We start from the raw sequence: 20,972 nt of genomic DNA, 5'->3' as shown, positions 1-20,972 counted from the left end.
ATAAAGACTTTCAAAGAAAAGCAAATGCTGAGGGAATCCGTCACCAGTAGGCCAGCTCTATAAGAAATGCTCAATGGAGTTCTAAACATCTAAATGAAAGGGCTAGGCCAGGCATGGTGGCTCATGCCTGTAATACCAGCACTTTGGGAGGCCGAGGCAGGTGGATCACTTGAGGTCAGAAGTTCAAGACCAGCCTGGTCAACATGGGTGAAACATCGTCTTTACTAAAAATACAAAAATTAGCCAGGCGTGGTGGCGTGCACCTGTAAGTCCCAGCTACTGGGGAGGCTGAGGTAGGAGGATCGCTTAAGCCTGGGAGGGCAGAGTTTGTAGTGAGCCAAGATCATGCCACTGCACTCCAGCCTGGGTGACAGAGTGACTCCATCCCAACAAATAAATACATATATAGACACATACATAAATGAAAGGGCTTATAACAATAACACAGTAAAGAAAACAAAGCAACTAGGTAACAATCAATATGATGACTGCAAGAGTAGCTCCATATCAATACTATTTTCGAATGTAAATGGTGTAATGCCCCACTTAAAAGATACAGATTGGCAGAATGGATTTTAAAAAACACAGACCAAACATCTGCTGCCTTCAAGAGACCCACCTAACCCATAGAAAGATTCTTGTAGAGTCAAGGAAAGATATGGAAAAAAATATATTACACATGAATGGACACCAAAAGAGAGCAGGAGTAGCTATTTTATATGAGAAAAAACAGACTTTAAATAAAAAGACAAAGAAAGTCATTATATTATAACAGAACAATTCAACAAGAAGATATAATAATTCTAAATACATATGCAGCTAACACTGGAGCACCCATAGTCATCAAACAAATTCTGCTAGACCTAAGAAGAGAGGTAGACAGCAAGACAATAATAGTAGGAGACTTCAACACTTCATTGACAGCACTACATAGATCACTGAGGTAGAATGTCAACAAAGAAACACTGGACATAAACTGGACTCTAAAACAAATGGACCTAACAGACATTCACAGAACATTCTACCTGAAAACTGCAGGGTATACATTCTCATCAGCACATGGAACATTTTCCAAGATAGACCATATAACAGGACACAACACAAATCGCAATAAATTTAAAAAATCAAAATCATACCAAGTATCTTCTTAGACTACAGCAGAACAAAACTAGAAATTAATTCTAAGGGGAACTCTCAAAACTACACAAATACATGAAAATTAAACCATATGCTCCTGAATGATTTTTGAGTCAACAATATAATCAAGATGAAATTTTAAAAAATTTTGAAATGAATAATAACAGTGACACAAGTTACCCAAATTCCTGGGATACAGCAAAAGCAGCGCTATGAGAAAAGTTTATAATGCTAAATGCCTACATCAAAAAGACAGAAAGATCAAAGACTGGCAACATAATGTCACACCTCAAGAAACCAGAGAAACAACAAACCAAACCCAAAGCTAGCAGAAGAAAAACAAGAGAGATCAGAGTAGAACTAAATGAAATTGAAACCAAAAGACAATACAAAAGATCAATGAAACAACAGGTTGGTTCTTTGAAAACATAAACAAAAATGACAGACCACTAGCTAATCAAGAAAAGAAGAGAGAAGATTCAAACAAACTGAATCAGAAATGAAAATGCAGACATTATAACTGATACTGCAGAAATACAAAAGATCATGCAAGACTACTATGAACACTTCTATGTGCACAAGCTAGAAAATCTACAGGAAATGGATAGATTCCTAGAAACACACAACCTCCTAAGCTTGAATCAAAAAGATAAAGAAATCTTGAGCTGATCAGTAACAAGGAGTGAGATTCAATCAGTAACAAAACATCTCCCAACAAGATAAAGACTAGGATCAGACATATTCACAGCTGAATTCTACCAGACATTTCAAATAACTGGTACCAATCCTAGTAAAACTATTCCAAAAGACAGAGCAGGATTCCCTCACTCATTCTACAAAGTCGGTATCACCCTGATACCAAAGCAAGGAAAGGACATAACAACAACAATAAAGAAATACAGACCAAAATTCCTAATAAATACAGATGCAAAAAGCCTCAATAAAATACTAGCAAACTGAATCCAACAGCGCGTTGAAAAGATAATTCAACCTGATCAACTGGGCTTCATCCCAGGGATACAAGGATGGTTCAACAAATGCAAGTCAATAAATTGATTCATCACATAAACAGAATAAAAAACAGAAACCATACGATTATTTTAAAAGATGCGGAAAAAGCATTCGATAAAATCCAGCATCCCTTCATGATAAAAACCTTGAACAAACTAGGCATAGAAGAAATATACCTTAAAATTACAAAAGCCAAAATAAGACAAATCCACAGCCAACATCATATTGAATAGGGAGAAGGTGAAAGCCTTTCCGCCTAAGAACTAGAACAAGACAAGAATGCCTGCTTTCATCACTTCTATTCAACATAGCACTGGAAGTCCTAGCCAGAGCAATCAGGCAAAAGACAGAAATAAAGGGCATGTAAATTGAAAAAGAGGAAGTCAAACTATCTCTTTTTATATCTCTGATTTTACACCTAGAAAACTCTAAAGACTCCTCTAAAAGACTCCCAGATTTTATAAATTCAGTAATGTCTCAGGTTACAAAATCAAAGTACACAAATCCATAGCACTGCTATGTATCAATAACGAACAAGCTGAGAATCAAATCAATAACTCAATCCCATTTACAATAGTTGCGAAGAAAAAAAAAAGAACTACAAAACAGTGACGAAAGAAATCAAAGATGACACAAATGGAAAAACATGCCATGCTCAGGGATTGGAAGAATCAATATTGTGAAACTGACAATACTGCCCAAAGCAATCTATAGATTCAATGCAACTCCTATCAAAATACTAAGGTCATTTTTTCACAGATTTAGAAAAAAACAATCCTAAGGTTCATATGCAACCAAAAACCATCCTGAATAGTCAAAGTAATCCAAAGCAAAAAGAAGAAATCTGGAGATATCACATTACCTGACTTAAAATTATACTACAAGGCTATAGTAACTAAAACAGTACAAAAATAGACACACAAAGCCTCTCCCAACATGGCAGCCTCAACAATACCAGTTTCCAGTGTGACCCATTATTGACCTTCAAGAACTAAGCAAAAAAGAAGAATAAGAAGGGGAAGACTCTCTCCCTAACAGACTCTCTGGCTGAGGATGGAGGGACTGGTGGAGGAAGCACTTATGTTTCCAAACCAGTCAGCTGGGCTCATGAAACAGATGACCTGGAAGGAGATATTTCAACAACTTGGAACAGTAATGATGAAGATGTGTATAGGGCACCTCCAATTGACCGTTCCATCCTTCCCACTGCTCCAGGGGCTGCTTGGGAACCCAATATCGACTGGAGCCATCTTCCCAAATTGTCACCCTACATTGCTTTTCTAGGGAACCTACCCTATGATGTGACAGAAGAGTACATTAAAGAATTCTTTAGAGGACTAAATATCAGTGCAGTGCTTTTACCACGTGAACCCAGCAATCCAGAGAAGTTGAAAGGTTTTGGTTATGCTGAATTTGAGGACCTGGATTCCCTGCTCAGTGCCCTGAGTCTCAATGAAGAGTCTCTAGGTAACAGGAGAATTTGAGTGGACGTTGCTGATCAAGCACAGGATAAAGACAGGAATGATCATTCTTCTGGCTGTGATAGAAATGGGGATTATGACAAAACAGATACAGACTGAAGGGCTCGTCCTGCCACAGACAGCTTTGATGACTACTCACCTAGAAGAGGTGATGATAGCTTTGGAGACAAGTATCGAGATCGTTATGATTCAGATTGGTATTGTGATGAGTATTGGGATGGCCCATGCAGGGATATGGATTGATACGGCGACTGGGATCGCTATGATGACCAAGGCAGCAGAGATTATGATAGAGGCTATGATTCCCAGATAGGCAATGGCAAAAAAGCATTTGGCAGTGGGTACCACAGGGATGATGACTACAGAGGAGGTGAGGACTGTGATGAAGACTGATCCAACAGACGGGATGATCGGTCATAGAGCTCCAGAGATGATTACTCTTGGGATGATTATAGGCGTGATGATAGAGGTCCCCCACAAAGACCCAAACTGAATCTAAAGCCTCAGAGTACTCCTAAGGAAGATAATTCCTCTGCTAGTACCTCCCAGTCCAGTCAAGCTGCTTCTGTCTTTGGAGGGACAAAGCCCATTGACACAGCTGCTAGAGAAAGAGAAGTAGAACAGCTACAGAAGGAACAAGAGAAGTTGCAGCATCAGCTGGATGAGCCAAAACTAGAACGATGGCCTCGGGAGAGACACCCAAACTGGCAAAGTGAAGAAACTCAGGAACAGGGATGGTCGAGGACAGGAAGTGAGTCATCACAGACCGGGACCTCTGCCACATCCGGCAGAAATGCACGAGGGAGAGTGAGAAGTCTTTAGAAAATGAAACACTCAATAAGGAGGAAGACTGTCACTCTCCAACTTCTAAAACTCCCAAACCTGATCAGCCCCTAAAGGTAATGCCAGCCCCTCCACCAAAGGAGAATGCTTGGGTGAAGTGAAGTTCTAACCCTCCTGCTCTATCACAGAGCTCAGATACAGAGCAGCAATCCCTACAAGTGGTGGGGGAAAAGTAGCTCCAGCTCAACCATCTGAGGAAGGAACAGCAAGAAAAGATGAAAATAAAGTAGATGGGATGAATGTCCCCAAAGACCAAACTGGGAACTCTAGCCATGGTCCAGGAGACAGAGGGAACAAAGACCACTGAACGGAGTCAGATAGGAAAGATGGCAAAAAGGATCAAGAGTCCAGATCTGCACCTGAGCCATATAAACCCAAGGAAAATCTAGCTTCCAAGTTCAGTTCTGCAAGCAAGTATGCTGCTGTCTCCGTTGATGGTGAAAATGAAAACGAGGGAGAAGATTACACCAAATAGACCTCAACATCCTGTGCTTTCTCCTACTTTCTCTGCACCCTGGAACATTAGAGAGCAAATCAAACCTCTATCCAGACAAGACAAAATAAAACTCACCATCTCCTGGGGGAAAAAAAAAAAAAGACACACAGACCAATGGAACAGAATAAACAGCCCAGAAATAAGCCAAATACCTAAAACCAACTCATCTTTAGCAAAGCACATAAAAACACACACTGGGGAAAGAATACTCCATTCAATAAATGGTGCTGGGAAAATTGAACAACAACATGCAAAGAATGAAAATGGATTCCTATCTTTCACTATATACAAAAATTAACTCAAGATGGATTAAAGACATAAGTCTAAAACCTGAAATCATAAAAATTCTAGAAGAAAACCTGGAAAAACTCTTCTGGACATTGGCCTAGGCAAAGAACTTATGACTAAGACCCCAAAAGCAAATGTAACAAAAACCTGTAAATGACATGTAACTAAACCACCAATGGATCCAGCAATCCCACTACAGGGTATCTACAGAGTCCATAAGGAACTCAAGCAAATCAGCAAGAAAGGAAAAAATCCCATTAAAAAGTGGGCAAACGACAAGAGCAGACATTTCTCAAAAGATACACAAATGGCCAACCAACATGAAAAAAATGCCACTAATGTCAGTAATCATCAGGGAAATGCATATTAAAACCACAGTGAGATACCTCCTTACTCCAGCCAGAATTACCATTATTAAAAAGTCAAAAAACAACAGATGTTGGTGTGGATGCAGTGAAACGGGAACACTTATACACTATTGATGGGAATGAAAGTTAGTACGATATTTATGAAAGACAGTATGGAAATTTCTCCAAGAACTAAAAGTAGATCTACCATTCAATCCAGCAATCCCACTACTGGGTATCTACCAAAGGAAAAAAAGTCATTATATAAAAAAGATACCTGCATGTGTATATTTATCACAGCATAATTCAAAATTATAAAGACATAGAATCAACTTAAGTGCCTATCAACCCATAAGTGGATTAAAAAAAAATGTGACAAACACACACACACCATGGATTGCTACTCAGCCAAAAAAAAAAAAAAAAAAAAGAATGAAATAATGTCTTTTGCAGCAATCTGGATGCAATTGGGGGCCTTATCCTAGGTGAAGTATCTCAGGAATGAAAAACCAAATGCCACATCTTCTCCCTTGCAAGTGGGAGCTAAATGAAGGGTACACAAAGGCATACAGAATGGTATAGGGGACACTGGAGGCTCAGAAGACTGGAGGGTGAGAGGGGGCTGAGGGATAAATAATTACATACTGAGTACAATGTACATTATTTGGGTGATGGGTACCCTTAACGCCCAGACTTCCTCAGTATAAAATTCATCCATGTAACCAAAAACCATTTGTATCCCTAAATAGAAATACAATTTTAAAAGGAAAAAGAAAAAAAGAAAGTAGGGTTCAAATATTAAGAAAGAATGTTAAACCTACTCTATGCTCTAGAAATGGAACAACAAAGTCTGAATGACAGCACATCTTTTTACAGCATGGTTTCCTGAATATTTTAAGCCCACTGGTAAGACCTGATGCTCAGAAAAAAATGATTCCCTTGAAAATATTACTACTTATTGACAATATACCTGGTTATCCAAGAGCTCTAATGGAGATGCACAAGGAGATTAATGTTTTCATTTCTACTAACACAACATTCATTCTGCAGTTCCATGGATCAAGGATTAATTTTACTTTCAAGTTTTATTATTTAAGAAATGTCTTGCAAGGCAACAGCTGCCATAGATAGTGATTCCTCTGATGGATTTGAGCAAAGTAAACTGAAAATCAGGGAAGGACTCGCCATTCTAGATGCCACTAAGAACATTCAAGATTCATGAGAGGAAGTCAAAATGTCAATACTAACAGGAGTTTGGAAGAAGCTGATTCCAAATGTCATGGATAAGCGTGAGGAGTTCAAGACTTCAATGGAAGAAGAGTGAGCAGATGTGGTGGAAATAGCAAAAGAACTAGAATTAGAAGTGGACCATAAAATGAGACTAAATTCCTGTAAACTCAAGATAAAACTTGAATGGATGAGGAATTGATTCTTATGGATGAGCAAAGAAAGTGGTTCTTGAGATGAAATTTACCCCTGGTAAACAGCTGTGAATATTATTGAGTTGACAACAAAGGATTTAGAATGCTTCACATACTTAGCTGATAAAGCAGTGGCAGGGTTTGGGAGGACTGACTCTGATTTTGAGAAAAGTTCTAATGTGGGTATAATGCTATCAAACAGCATCATGTGTTACAGAGAAATCTATTGTGAAAGGAAGAGTCCTTCAATGTGGCAAACTTCATTGTTGTCTTATTTTGAGAAAGTGTCACAGCCATTCCAATCTTCAGCAACCATCAGCCTGATCAGTCAGCAGCCATCAAGACTGAGGCAAGACCTTCCATCAGCAAGAAGTTTACAACTCACTGAAGGTTCAGATGACTGTTAGCATGTTTAAGCAATAATGTATTTTTAACTAAGGGAAAGTCCTTTTTCCAAGATGGACACCCACAATGACAAAACCACATCACTGGAGGGTGCTGATCTTACCCTGCTGATTCTCAACTCAACAGAGGCTGGAGGAGGCAGAAGCTGCATCTCTTTTTGTTCAGCAATTTGTTGCTTTTGTCTACCAAGTGCAGGAAATCCTTTAAGATAAAAAATAAAATAGTGCTGAACAACCTGTGGACAGCTAGCTATGTGGACAAAGTGGGGAATGGCCACATCTCTACTGGGAGGTCCCTTCTCTTGGGCTGGCCCATGGCGAACTTCGTGGCCACATTTTGGGCTCTGAAGATTACCAGCTGTGGGTCACTTCTGGCATGAAAAAGGCCCCATGTCCACTCATTGGGCACAAGCATTCTTACAGAATTAAAATGAGCCATCCTCAAGCCATTATGCTCCTGCCACAGGGACAGTGAACTCCATCTCTCCTTCCATCTTTCAGGAGCCCTTCTTTTGGCAGGGGTCTAACACTTGCCAGGACAACCTATGCATGACTCTACCAGCCTTAAAGCTAGGCCAGCTCTTTGGAGCTTCTCTCACAGATGTTTGTGAGAATGACAACATACCCACCCCTCTCTGGATATGCCTTTTTAAAAAGCAACCAAAAAGGGCCACTCAACAGAAGGTATCTTCAGAAAATTGGCAAATATAAAATCATATCGAGCCCTAAAGGAGAAACTAAATTCTGCAGATAAAGTGAACTTGGACAATTTGAGTCCATTCTTCTGGAAACATCATTCTTAAATGAAAGAATATCCAAGGAAGTATATTTTCATCCAGTCTCTATGATGAATGGCTTGGTGTATTCATCAAGGGAATGAAGAGGAGAAAATAATTGCTATCCAGAGGCTTTTAGACCAGCTGCCAATGTTGTTCTCTTGAGATACCTTTTTGGAGTGTACACACTGAATATTCCTCATCCAATCAGATAAAAGCTTATAATTTATCAACATGTATAGCCCCAAGCATTCTTCAGCTGTCCACTTCCTGCAGCTCAAAACTAGAAAATGCATTCACAAAAAGTCCAGTGTGATGACTCTGACTTTAAAAAAGAGAATTCACAAAAAAGGTTTCTCTTGTACAATTTCTCATTGAAAACCGCCTCATGATATTTGGAAAAGACATCACTTTCCTCTTTGGGAAGAACTCAGAGTTGTGATAATAGCCAGAAGGCTTTAGTGAAAACAGAGCAACCTCTTTAATCCAAGCCAGTGAGAGTCATGGTGGTTTACAAGAAAATCACAACTGTACAATGATGCCCAGGCCCATCTGGAATGGGTCCACCCAGCTACCTGCCCACTGTTTTTTAAGTTACTGAAGATTCAAATCTCCATAGTCACATTTGACTCTTCCTTTTCTTTCATTTCCTAAAGTATTCCACTGAGAACAATTTTCCCAAAATGTTTGCAGAATTTTGCTGAATTTGGATTAAATCCTCAGGTTCTTTCCAAAAATAAGTAAATTTCTTGGCAAAAGAATGAACATGTGGCACCTTAAACTAAGACAACCACCATGGATCATGTTTTTAAATCACTTGTTTTTAGTTGAACACCGAATGAGCACCTTCCAACATCCCAGGTCATCCCATTTTCCTTTTCCTTATACCATATATACATATTTGCAAAAATCTTCCCACAAAATATATCTTCTATCTTTCCATCCCTATCATAACATATTATTACTTTTCAATTGATATAAAATAAATATATAAATTTTTGGAGTAAAAAAGAATTCTATACTTTTAACTCTTACATATAGGTATAGGTCTTTGATCTCTTTCATATTAATTTTTGTATATGGTGTGAAATAGGGGTCCAGATTCATTCCTCTGTATGTGGACATCCAGCTGTCCCAGCACTATTTGTTGAAAACTATCCTTTCCCCCTGAATTGTCTTTGCACATTCATGAAAATCGATTGATTACAGATGTGTGGGTTTATTTCTGTACTCTTAATTCTGTTTCACCGATCTCCTTGTCCTTATGCCAGAACCACACTATTTTAATTATTGTAGCTTTGCAGTAAGTTTTGAAATTGAAAAGTGTGAGTCCAGTTCTGTTCTTTTTCGAGGTTGTTTTGGCTAGCCTGGTTCCCTAACCTTTCCTGTGCATTTTATAATCAGCTCGTCAATTTCTGCAACAAAGATAGTTGGATTTTTTACATAGATTACATAAACATAGGATGTCTTTCCATTTATTTAGGTCTCCTTTAATATCTCTCAACATTTCTTTGCAGTTTTCAATATACAAGTACAAGAACCTATACAAGTCTTACACTTCTTTTGTTAATCTCCTCTACTTTTAAGATGAGGGAACAAGCCCAGAGCGGCTTTAAAATCCACTCTTACTTCTGCTCTTTGGTGAAAACTTTGTACCCTACTAGAATCTATGCTGACCAATTTACCCTGATTTTTCAAGAATAATTGAGCCAATAATCTGGATTTAAGATACTATCCTAATGAATCTAATCTGCAGCCTAGCATATCACTGCTAGTGAAGGTTCCCTGCCAGTGAAGGAAGTACTTGCTTCCACAGGTTAAACAAATTTCATGACAATTCATATGGTACTGTTAGCACACTAATGGCAGCAGGCTCTTTGCAGGTCCAAAGTTTTTTTTGGAGAGAAATAACAAGGGCTGGAACCTAAAGGAGTAAAATCCAAGTGAAGGACCCGTGGTGGTTTAAAGCACATCTGAAATTCTTTGACACTCCTCCCCATCAAGAGATGGAGTCTAATATCCCCTGCTAGACTATGGGCTGGCCTTAGTGACTCTAACAAATAGGATGTGGTGGAGTTTACACTGCATGACTTCTGAGTCTAGGTCATAGACAGGAAAACAGCTCCCACCTAACTCTCTGCCTGGGATTCTGGGCCTTGGAGCCCAGCCACCATGCTGTTAGGAAGCCTATATGGAAAAACTTCACATAGGCCTTCCAGTGGACAGGTCCTGCCAAGGTCTTAGTCAACACTCAGATACCTGAGTGACAAAGCCTTCAAGATAAGCCCAGCCCCAGTCACAATGATGACAAACACATTAGAGACCCTGAGCAAAAACTGCCTAGCTTAACCCAGTCTACCATCTTAATAATAAATAATAATGTAAGACAATAATAATAAAAGATTGTTGTTGTTTTTATGCCTCTAAGTTTGGGTTTATTTGCAACAATAGGTAACTGGAAAAAAGCTTAAGTCAGTTTGCTAACTCTACCATGTACCCAGAACAATTAGGCCAATTACAATTTTGAATACTGTAAAATAGTAACCAAATTACGGTAGTACTGGAACAAGAATTTTAGAGCCTTAGACCCTAAGGGTTAGAAAAGCCCCTTGGGGTTGTATATTTGGACTGTTTGTGTAAAAACATTCATTGTTAACTTGCTTTCTTCCTTAAGAATGTGTTCCCGATGACCCAGGAGCTCCCTTAGGCCCCAATGCATAAAAACTTACATTCAGTTAACCCAGTAATACCATAAAACTTCCTCCTACAGTGTGAGGTACATATTTTATTAAATATTTACAGTATTTTGAAATGTAAAGAGAAAATAACTTATTCAAAAGGCGAACACATATGAAATTCAGTACTTAGAAACACAATGTAGCCAGTCCAAGGTTCTGTCTTTAATGGTATAAAAAAACAGCTATGGGATGAATTTGGAAATTGTCATCTAAATGTGGCATTTTAAAAGAAACAAGGCTGGGCACAGTGGCTCATGCCTGTAATCCCAGCACTTTGGGAGGCCAAGGTGGGCAAGACCACTTGAGGTCAGGGGCTCAAGACCAGCCTGGCCAACATGGCGAAACCCTGTCTCTACTACAAATACAAATATTCTCCAGGCTTGGTAGCACATGCCTGTAATCCCAGCTACTAGAGAGGCTGAGGCAGGAGACTTGCTTGAACCCAAGAGCAGAGGTTGCAGTGAGCCAAGATCGCACCACTGCACTCCAGCCAGAGCAACAGAGTGAGACTCTGTCTCAAAACAACAAAAACAAACAAAAGACAGAAACAAATACTGTATCTGAACTAGAGTAAAATTCACAAATATGTTAATTTATTATCCACTAGTTATTCAAATCTCTGGCAACAGCAAGCTATTTAGAAACCCAAACACAATCATAACATGACCTCACATTTTTTTAAATTTATTTTTATTTTATTATTATTATACTTTAAGTTTTAGGGTACATGTGCACAACGTGCAGGTTAGTTACATATGTATACCTGTGCCATGCTGGTGTGCTGCACCCATTAACTCGTCATTTAGCATTAGATATATCTCCTAATGCTATCCCTCCCCCCTCCCCCGACCCCACAACAGTCCCCAGAGTGATGTTCCCCTTCCTGTGTCCATGTGTTCTCATTGTTCAAGTCCCACCTATGAGTGAGAACATGCAGTGTTTGGTTTTTTGTCCTTGCGATAGTTTACTGAGAATGATGATTTCCAATTTCATCCATGTCCCTACAAAGGACATGAACTCATCATTTTTTATGGCTGCATAGTATTCCATGGTGTATATGTGCCACATTTTCTTAATCCAGTCTATCATTGTTGGACATTTGGGTTGGTTCCAAGTCTTTGCTATTGTGAATAGTACCGCAATAAACATATGTGTGCATGTGTCTTTATAGCAGCATGATTTATAATTCCTTGGGAATATACCCAGTAATGGGATGGCTGGGTCAAATGGTATTTCTAGTTCTAGATCCCTGAGGAATCGCCACACTGACTTCCACAATGGTTGAACTAGTTTACAGTCTCACCAACAGTGTAAAAGTGTTCCTATTTCTCCACATCCTCTCCAGCACCTGTTGTTTCCTGACTTTTTAATGATCGCCATTCTAACTGGTGTGAGATGGTATCTCACTGTGGTTTTGATTTGCATTTCTCTGATGGCCAGTGATGGTGAGCATTTTTTCATGTGCTTTTTGGCTGCATAAATGTCTTCTTTTGAGAAGTGTCTGTTCATGTCCTTTGCCCACTTTTTGATGGGGTTGTTTGTTTTTTTCTTGTCAATTTGTTTGAGTTCATTGTAGATTCTGGATATTAGCCCTTTGTCAGATGAGTAGGTTGCGAAAATTTTCTCCCATTTTGTAGGCTGCCTGTTCACTCTGGTGGTAGTTTCTTTTGCTGTGCAGAAGCTCTTTAGTTTAATTAGGTCCCATTTGTCAATTTTGGCTTTTGTTGCCATTGCTTTTGGTGTTTTAGACATGAAGTCCTTGCCCATGCCTATGTCCTGAATGGTAATGCCTAGGTTTTCTTCTAGGGTTTTTATGGCTTTAGGTCTAACGTGTAAGTCTTTAATCCATCTTGAATTAATTTTTGTATAAGGTGTAAGGAAGGGATCCAGTTTCAGATTTCTACATATGGCTAGCCAGTTTTCCCAGCACCATTTATTAAATAGGGAATCCTTTCCCCATTGCTTGTTTTTCTCAGGTTTGTCAAAGATCAAGTAGTTGTAGATACGCGGCATTATTTCTGAGGGCTCTGTTCTGTTCCATTGATCTATATTTCTGAAATGGATAAATTCCTTGACACATACACCCTCCCAAGACTAAACCACGAAGAAGTTGCATCTCTGAATAGACCAATAACAGGATCTGAAATTGTGGCAATAATCAATAGCTTGCCAACCAAAAAGAGTCCAGGACCAGATGGATTCACAGCCGAATTCTACCTGAGGTACAAGGAGGAGCTGGTACCATTCCTTCTGAAGCTATTCCAATCAATAGAAAAAGAGGGAATCCTCCCTAACTCACTTTATGAGGCCAGCATCATCCTGATACCAAAGCCTGGCAGAGACACAACCAAAAAAGAGAATTTTAGACCAATATCCTTGATGAACATTGATGCAAAAATCCTCAATGAAATACTGGCAAACCGAATCCAGCAGCACATCAAAAAGCTTATCCACCATGATCAAGTGGGCTTCATCCCTGGGATGCAAGGCTGGTTCAATATATGAAAATCAATAAATGTAATCCAGCATATAAACAGAACCAACGACAAAAACCACATGATTATCTCAATAGATGCAGAAAAGGCCTTGGACAAAATTCAACAACGCTTCATGCTAAAAACTCTCAATAAATTAGGTATTGATGAGACATATCTCAAAATAATAAGAGCTATCTATGACAAACCCACAGCCAATATCATACTGAATGGGCAAAAACTGGAAGCATTCCCTTTGAATATGGGCACAAGACAGGGATGCCCTCTCTCACCACTCCTATTCAACATAGTGTTAAAAGTTCTGGCCAGGGCAATTAGGCAGGAGAAGGAAATAAAGGGCATTCAATTAGGAAAAGAGGAAATCAAACTGTCCCTGTTTGCAGATGACATGATTGTATATCTAGAAAACTCCATTGTCTCAGCCCAAAATCTCAAGCTGATAAGCAACTTCAGCAAAGTCTCAGGATACAAAATCAATGTACAAAAATCACAAGCATTCTTAGACACCAATAACAGACAAACAGCCAAATCATGAGTGAACTCCCATTCACAATGGCTTCAAAGAGAATAAAATACCTAGGAATCCAACTTACAAGGGACATGAAGGACCTCTTCAAGGAGAATTACAAACCACTGCTCAATGAAATAAAAGAGGATACAAAGAAATGGAAGAACATTCCATGCTCATGGGTAGGAAGAATCAATATCGTGAAAATGGCCATACTGCCCATGGTAATTTATAGATTCAATGCCATCCCCATCAAGCTACCAACGACTTTCTTCACAGAATTGGAAAAAACTACTTTAAAGTTCATATGGAACCAAAAACGAGCCCACATCGCCAAGTCAATCCTAAGCCAACATGATCTTACATTTTAATGGCAATTTCTATTGTTGGCAATATATATTGTTGTAAGAAATTCAAAATATTTTAATGGTACAAGACACTCTCAAGAAACTAAATTATTCTATTATAAGCTATTGAACATATTAATAGCAGATGACTAATATCAATAGAACATTGACTGATTTGATTATTGCAAGATGGTACCTTAACATCTTTATTCTAATATTCACTGAAGAGAGCTAAAATAAAGCAACATTTGTTTGGGAGATAGTGATTTGTTGCATAAATCAAAGCTTTTATGGAAAAGATAGGTCTATCTATTTAATTTCACACCTACCATGGAATTCACAAAAGTAACTGGCAGGCATGAGAACTAAATTCACAATCTTCTGTTCATTAACACTGTTTTAAATCCCTGAGCTACCAATCACATTTCCTAGAAGAACAAGGACTTCACAGTACTATGGTTTCAAAAAATACAAGTGAATTGTTCAGTATGGCAAAGATACATAAAATGAAGCAGAATGGTTGGACAGTAGCTTCTATCATAGTTCGATGAAGAAAATATCAAAAATGACTTAAGAAGACTAAGTAGTTACCTTAAGTAATAAGCACCATATGGAATAAAAGGGTCACTGAAAGCCTCTTAAACTGAGTAAAGTGGTGCTATGATTGTTATTTATCTGATATTTTAGTGATGGCTTTCTTTATTAGAAAAGCGAAGAGAATAGAACATAAAACCACTTTAAAAAGCTAAAAGTCAGGAGTCTGGCAAGATGGCCAAATAGGAACAGCTCTGGTCTGCAGCTCCCAGCAAGACCAATGCAGAAGGCGGGTGATTTCTGCATTTCCAACTGAGGTATCCAGCTCATCTCACTGGGACTGGTTAGATAGTGGGTGCAGCCCACAGAGAGCGAGCTGAAGCAGGGTGGGGCGTCGCCTCTCCCAGGAAATGCAAGGCTTCAGGGAACTCCCTCCCCTAGCCAAAGGAAGCGGTGAGGGACTATGCTGCGAGGAACGATACAATCTGGCCCAGATACTACACTTTTCCCATAGTCTTTGCAACACACAGACCAGGAGATTCCCTTAGGTGCCTACACCACCAGGGCCCTGGGTTTCAAGCACAAAACTGGGTGGCCATTTGGGAAGACACCGAGCTAGCTGCAGGAGATTTTTTTCATACACCAGTGGCACCTGGAACTCCGCGGAGACAGAACCGTTCACTCCCCTGGAAAGGGGGCTGAAGCCAGGGCACCAAGTGGTCTAGCTCAGCAGATCCCACCCCCATAGAGCCCAGCAAGCTAAGATCCACTGGCTTGAAATTCTCGTTGCCAGCACAGCAGTCTGAAGTTGACCTGGGACACTCCAGCTTGGTGGGGAAAGGGGCGTACACCATTACTGAGGCTTGAGTAGGTAGTTTTCCCCTCACAGTGTAAACAAAGTCATGGGGAAGTTCCAACTGGGCAGAGTCCACCACAGCTCAGCAAAGCTGCTGTAGCCAGACTGCCTCTCTAGATTCCTCCTCTCTGGGTAGGGCATCTCTGAAAAAAAGGCAGCAGCCACAGTCAGGGGCTTATACATAAAACTTCCATCTCCCTGGGACAGAGGGAAGGGGCAGCTGTGGGCGCAGCTTCAGCAGACTTAAACGTCCCTTCTTGCAAGCTGTGAAGAGAGCAGTGGACCTCAAGTCTGCTAAGGGTCAGACTGCCTCCTCAGGTGGGTTCCTGACACCTGTGTCTCCTGACTGGGAGACATTTCCCAGCAGGGGCCGACAGATATCTCATACAGGAGAGATCCAGCTGGCATCTGGCGGGTGCCCCTCTGGGACAAACCTTCCAGAGGAAGAAACAGGTGGCAATCTTTGACGTTCTGCTGCCTCCGCTGGTGATACCCAGGCAAACAGGGTCTGGAGTGGACCTCCAGCAAAGTCCAGCAGACCTGTGGCAGAGGGCCCTGACTGTTAGAAGCAAAACTAATAAACAGAAAGGAATAGCATCAATATCTTAACAAAAAGGATGTCCACTCAGAGACCCCATCTGAAGGTCACCAACATAAAAGACTAAAGGTAGATAAATCGACGAACAGGGGGAGAAACCAGTGCAAAAACGCTGAAACTTCCAAAAACCATTAGCCTCTTCTCCTCCAAAGGATCACAAGTCCTTGCCAGCAAGGGAACAAAACTGGATGGAGAATGTTTGATGAACTGACAGAAGTAGGCTTCAGAAGGTGGGTAATAACAAGCTCCTCTGAGCTAAAGGACTATGTTCTAACCAAATGCAAGGAAGCTAACAACTTTGAAAACAGGTTAGATGAATTGCTAACTAGAATAACCAGCTTAGAGAAGAACATAAATGACCTGACGAAACTGAAAAACACAGTACGAGAACTTCATGACACATACACACGTTATCAAGAGCCGAATCGATCAAGCGGAAGAAAGGATATCAGAGATTGAAGATCAACTTAATGAAATAAAGCGAGAAGACAAGATTAGAGAAAAAATAATGAAAAGGAATGAACAAAGCTTCCAAAAAATATGGGACTATGTGGAAAGACCAAACCTATGTTTGGTTGGTGTACCTGAAAGTAATGGGGAGAATGGAACCAGGCTGGAAAACACTCTTCGAGATATTATCCAGGAGAACTTCCCCAACCTAGCAAGACTGAACAAATTCAAATTCAGGAAATACAGAGAACACCACAAAGATACTCCTTGAGAAGAACAACCCCAAGACACATAATTGTCAGACTCACCAAGGTTGAAATGAAGGAAAAAATGTTAAGGGCAGCCAGAGAGAAAGGTTGGGTTACCCACAAAGGGAAGCCCATCAGACTAACAGCAGATCTCTCTGCAGAAACCCTACATGCCAGGAGAGAGTGGGGATCAATATTCAACATTCTTTGTTTTTTGGTGTGTGTGTGTGTGTGTGTGTGTGTGTGTGTTTGAGATGGGGTCTTTGTCACAGTGACACAATCTTGGCTCACCACAAACTCTGCCTCTTGATTTCAATGGGTTCAAGCAATTCTCTGCCTCAGCCTCCCGAATTGCTGGGATTACAGGCACCCGCCACCACACTCGGCTAATTTTTGTATTTTTAGTAGAGACAAGGTATCACCATCTTGGCCAGGCTGGTCTCGAACTCCTGACCTTGTGATCCACCTGACTTGACTTCCCAAAGTGCTGGGATTACAGGTGTGAGCCACCACGGCCTCAACATTCTTAAAGAAAAGAATTTTAAACCCAGAATTTCATATCCAGCCAAACTAAGCTTCATAAGCAAAGGAGAAATAAAATCCTTTACAGACGAGCAAATTCTGAGAGATTTTGTCACCACCAGGCCTGCCTTACAAGAGCTCCTGAAGGAAGCACTACATATGGAAAGGAAAAACCAATACCAGCCACTGCAAAAACATGCCAAATGGTAAAGACCATCGACACTATGAAGAAACTGCATGAAGTAACGGGCAAAACAACCAGCTAACATCATAATGACAGGATCCAATTCTGAAATACCAATATTAACCTTAAATGTAAATGGGCTAAATGCCCCAGTTAAAAAACAGAGACTGGAAAACTGGATAAAGAGTAAAGACCCATCAGTGTGCTGTATTCAGGAGATCCATCTCATGTGCAAAGACACATAGGCTCAAAATAAACGGATGGAGGAGTATTTACCAAGCAAATGGAAAGAAAAAAAAGAAAGCAGGGTGGCAATCCTAGTCTCTGATAAAACAGACTTTAAATCAACAAAGATCAAGAAAGACAAAGAAGGCCATTACATAATGGTAAAGTGATCAATGCAACAAGAAGAGCTAACTATCCTATATATATGTGCACCCAATACAGGAGCACCCAGATTCATAAAGCAAGCCCTTAGAGACCTACAAAGAGACTTACACTCCCACACAATAATAGTGGAAGACTTTAACACCCGACTGTCAATATTAGACAAATAACGAGACAGAAAATTAACAAGGATATTCAGGACTTGAACTTAGCTCTGGACCAAGTGGACCTAACAGACATCTACAAAACTCTCCCCACCAAATCAACAGAATATACATTCTTCTCAGCACCACATCGCACTTATTCTAAAATTGACCACATAATTGGAAGTAAAATACTCCTCAGCAAATGCAAAAGAATGGCAATCATAACAAACTGTCTCTCAAACCACAGTGCAATCAAATTAGAACTCAGGATTAAGAAACTCACTCAAAACCACAAAACTACATGGAAACTGAAGAACTTGCTCCTGAATGACTACTGGGTAAATTACAAAATGAAGGCAGAAATAAATAAGTTCTTTGAAACCAATGAGAACAAAGACACAATGTACCAGAATCTCTGGGACACAGCTAAAGCCGTGTTTAGAGGAAAATTTATAGCACCAAATGCCCACAGGAGAAAGTGGGAAAGATCTAAAATCGACGCCCTAACTTCACAATTAAAAGAACTAGAGAAGCAAGAGCAAACAAATTCAAAAGCTAGCAGAAGACAAGAAATAACTAAGATCAGAGCAGAACTGAAGGAGATAGAGACACAAAAAACCCTTCAAAAAAATCAAGGAATCCAAGAGCTGGTTTTTTGAAAAGATTAACGAAATAGACCACTACCAAGACTAATAAAGAAGAAAAGAGAGAAGAATCAAATAGACACAATAAAAAATGATAAAGGAGATATCATCACTGATCCCACAGAAATAGAAATTACCATCAGAGAATACTATAAACACCTCTACGCAAATAAACTAGAAAATCTAGAAGAAATGGATAAATTGCTGGACACATACACCCTCCCAAGACTAAACCAGGAAGAAGTCGAATCCCTGAATAGACTGATAACAAGTTCTGAAATTGAGGCAGTAATTAATAGCCTACCAACCAAAAAAACCCCAGGACCAGACGGACTCACACCTGAATTCTACCAGAGGTACAAAGTGGAGCTGGTACCACTCCTTCTGAAAGTATTCCAAACAACAGAAAAGAGGGACTCCTCCCTAACTCACTTTATGAGGCCAGGATCATCCTCGTAACAGCCAATAACCAATAAAAGCCTACCAACCAACAAAAGCCCAGGACAAAATGGATTCACAGCTTAGAAGGGATGTACTCAGTGTGGCAAGGAAAGGAAGAGCCAGTCACTTCAGCTGAGGCCCTAGTGAGCACCAAGGCAACACTCAGATTATGCTCTGTTTTCTCTCTGACTCCTGGTACAGATGACTGTATAGCACAGAGAAAGGAGAGCGGCAGAGAAAGTGTCAGACTACAAAGGGAAGTGTAAGTACTTATGGCAAGTATTACTATGTATTAATTCAAGCTGTCTGAAATTATGAGAACAGTTTCAGGATATAACAAGGATACTGCACTAAACAGTAAAGAATAGATCCAATTAATCCCAAATAGATCTGGGGTATCCTACAGCAGAGACAGACTAAGAGGTGTGACTTGATCCCAGGCTAGTAGCAGCTCTACATTCCACTACACAGGCCTAAGCACAGAAGGATACTGGCCGCCCACTACCACAGCCATCACTACCTCCGTGAGCACATGGAGTTCAACTCTCTCGCAGTTTCAAAATGTATCCTTTGGACATCAGAGGTGATAGATTCAAAACAGGCTTGTGAAGACCTGACCTTGGAAACTTTCAAATAAAAAATTAAGGTTAAAGTTCTTTTGGGGAATTTTAAAGTGTTATACCATGGACAAGTAGAACATCAATGTCAAATAAAGTATAAAACCCATCATCCAAACTTAAACGACAAACTTCATCTCTCATCCATTTGAACAAAATCGGCCTACTACAAAAAGATTAATTTTGCATGCAAACGATGGCAAAAAAAAATCACATAATGATTTTTCAAGCCTTCAAATAAAAACCTTAATGAATCAATTTAAAGACTGCCACCTCAGTTATAGGAATACAAGTTGGAGCCTGTTTTGTCACCAGGGACCTTCTGACATCCTCACTTTCTAGGGTCAGTAGTAACTTTTATTTAAGGTTCTTTCTGAGTTTACTACAGGTTAGCATTTTTTTTTCTTTCTTTTTGTGATGGAGTCTCATTCTGTCACCCAGGCTGGAGTGCAGTGGCACGATCTCGGCTCACTGCAACCTCCACCTCCCAGGTTCAAGAGAGTCTCCTGCCCCAGCCTCCCAAGTAGCTGGGATTACAGGCGCATGCCACCATGCCAGGCTAATTTTTGTATTTTTTTTTAAGTAGAGACAGGTTGTCACCATGTTGGTCAGACCAATCTCAAACCCCCGGTGTCAGGTGATCTGCCCGCCTCGGCCTCCCAAAGTGTTGGATTACAGGTGTGAGCCACTGCATCTGGCCTACTGCAGTTTTTATAAACAGAAAAACTTCTATTCCAAATATTTCACGCTGAAAATATGGCAATGGGGTCAGACTGACATATATTAAATGCTTATTAAGAAACAAGGAAGATATCTGATAATCATATGTACTGAAAAGGTAAATTTTAAAAATCATCTTATCAGATCAAATTTCTTATAATTTGAGTGATAATCTGGAATGTTGAGAACTTAATTTGGATGAGGGCTGAATTATAACATCATCTATTTAATTTTAGTATTTGCCAGAATCTGTTTAATGTCTGAAATGAGCTTTACCACAAATTATTCCTCTACTTCACTGACTTTTTCATTGATTGATACTATTCTGGTCTA

At 39.8% G+C, this 20,972-nt stretch overlaps 1 protein-coding gene and 2 pseudogenes across 3 annotated transcripts in view; 2 read left to right on the top strand and 1 right to left on the bottom strand.

The window, feature by feature from the left end:
- The window catches only part of PHKB (phosphorylase kinase regulatory subunit beta), a 240,225-nt gene that overhangs the window by 131,496 nt on the left and 87,757 nt on the right, over positions 1-20,972 (bottom strand). The window lies entirely within an intron of this gene.
- EIF4BP5 (eukaryotic translation initiation factor 4B pseudogene 5) lies at positions 3,074-5,052 on the top strand (annotated as a pseudogene).
- LOC100420642 (Rho GTPase activating protein 20 pseudogene) lies at positions 7,462-8,637 on the top strand (annotated as a pseudogene).

The sequence above is a fragment of the Homo sapiens genome, chromosome 16 (genome assembly GCF_000001405.40).
Source record: "Homo sapiens chromosome 16, GRCh38.p14 Primary Assembly".
NCBI lineage: Eukaryota > Metazoa > Chordata > Mammalia > Primates > Hominidae > Homo > Homo sapiens.
The sequence above is the reverse complement of the archived record's forward strand: the minus strand, read 5'-3'. Positions and strand labels throughout refer to the sequence as shown.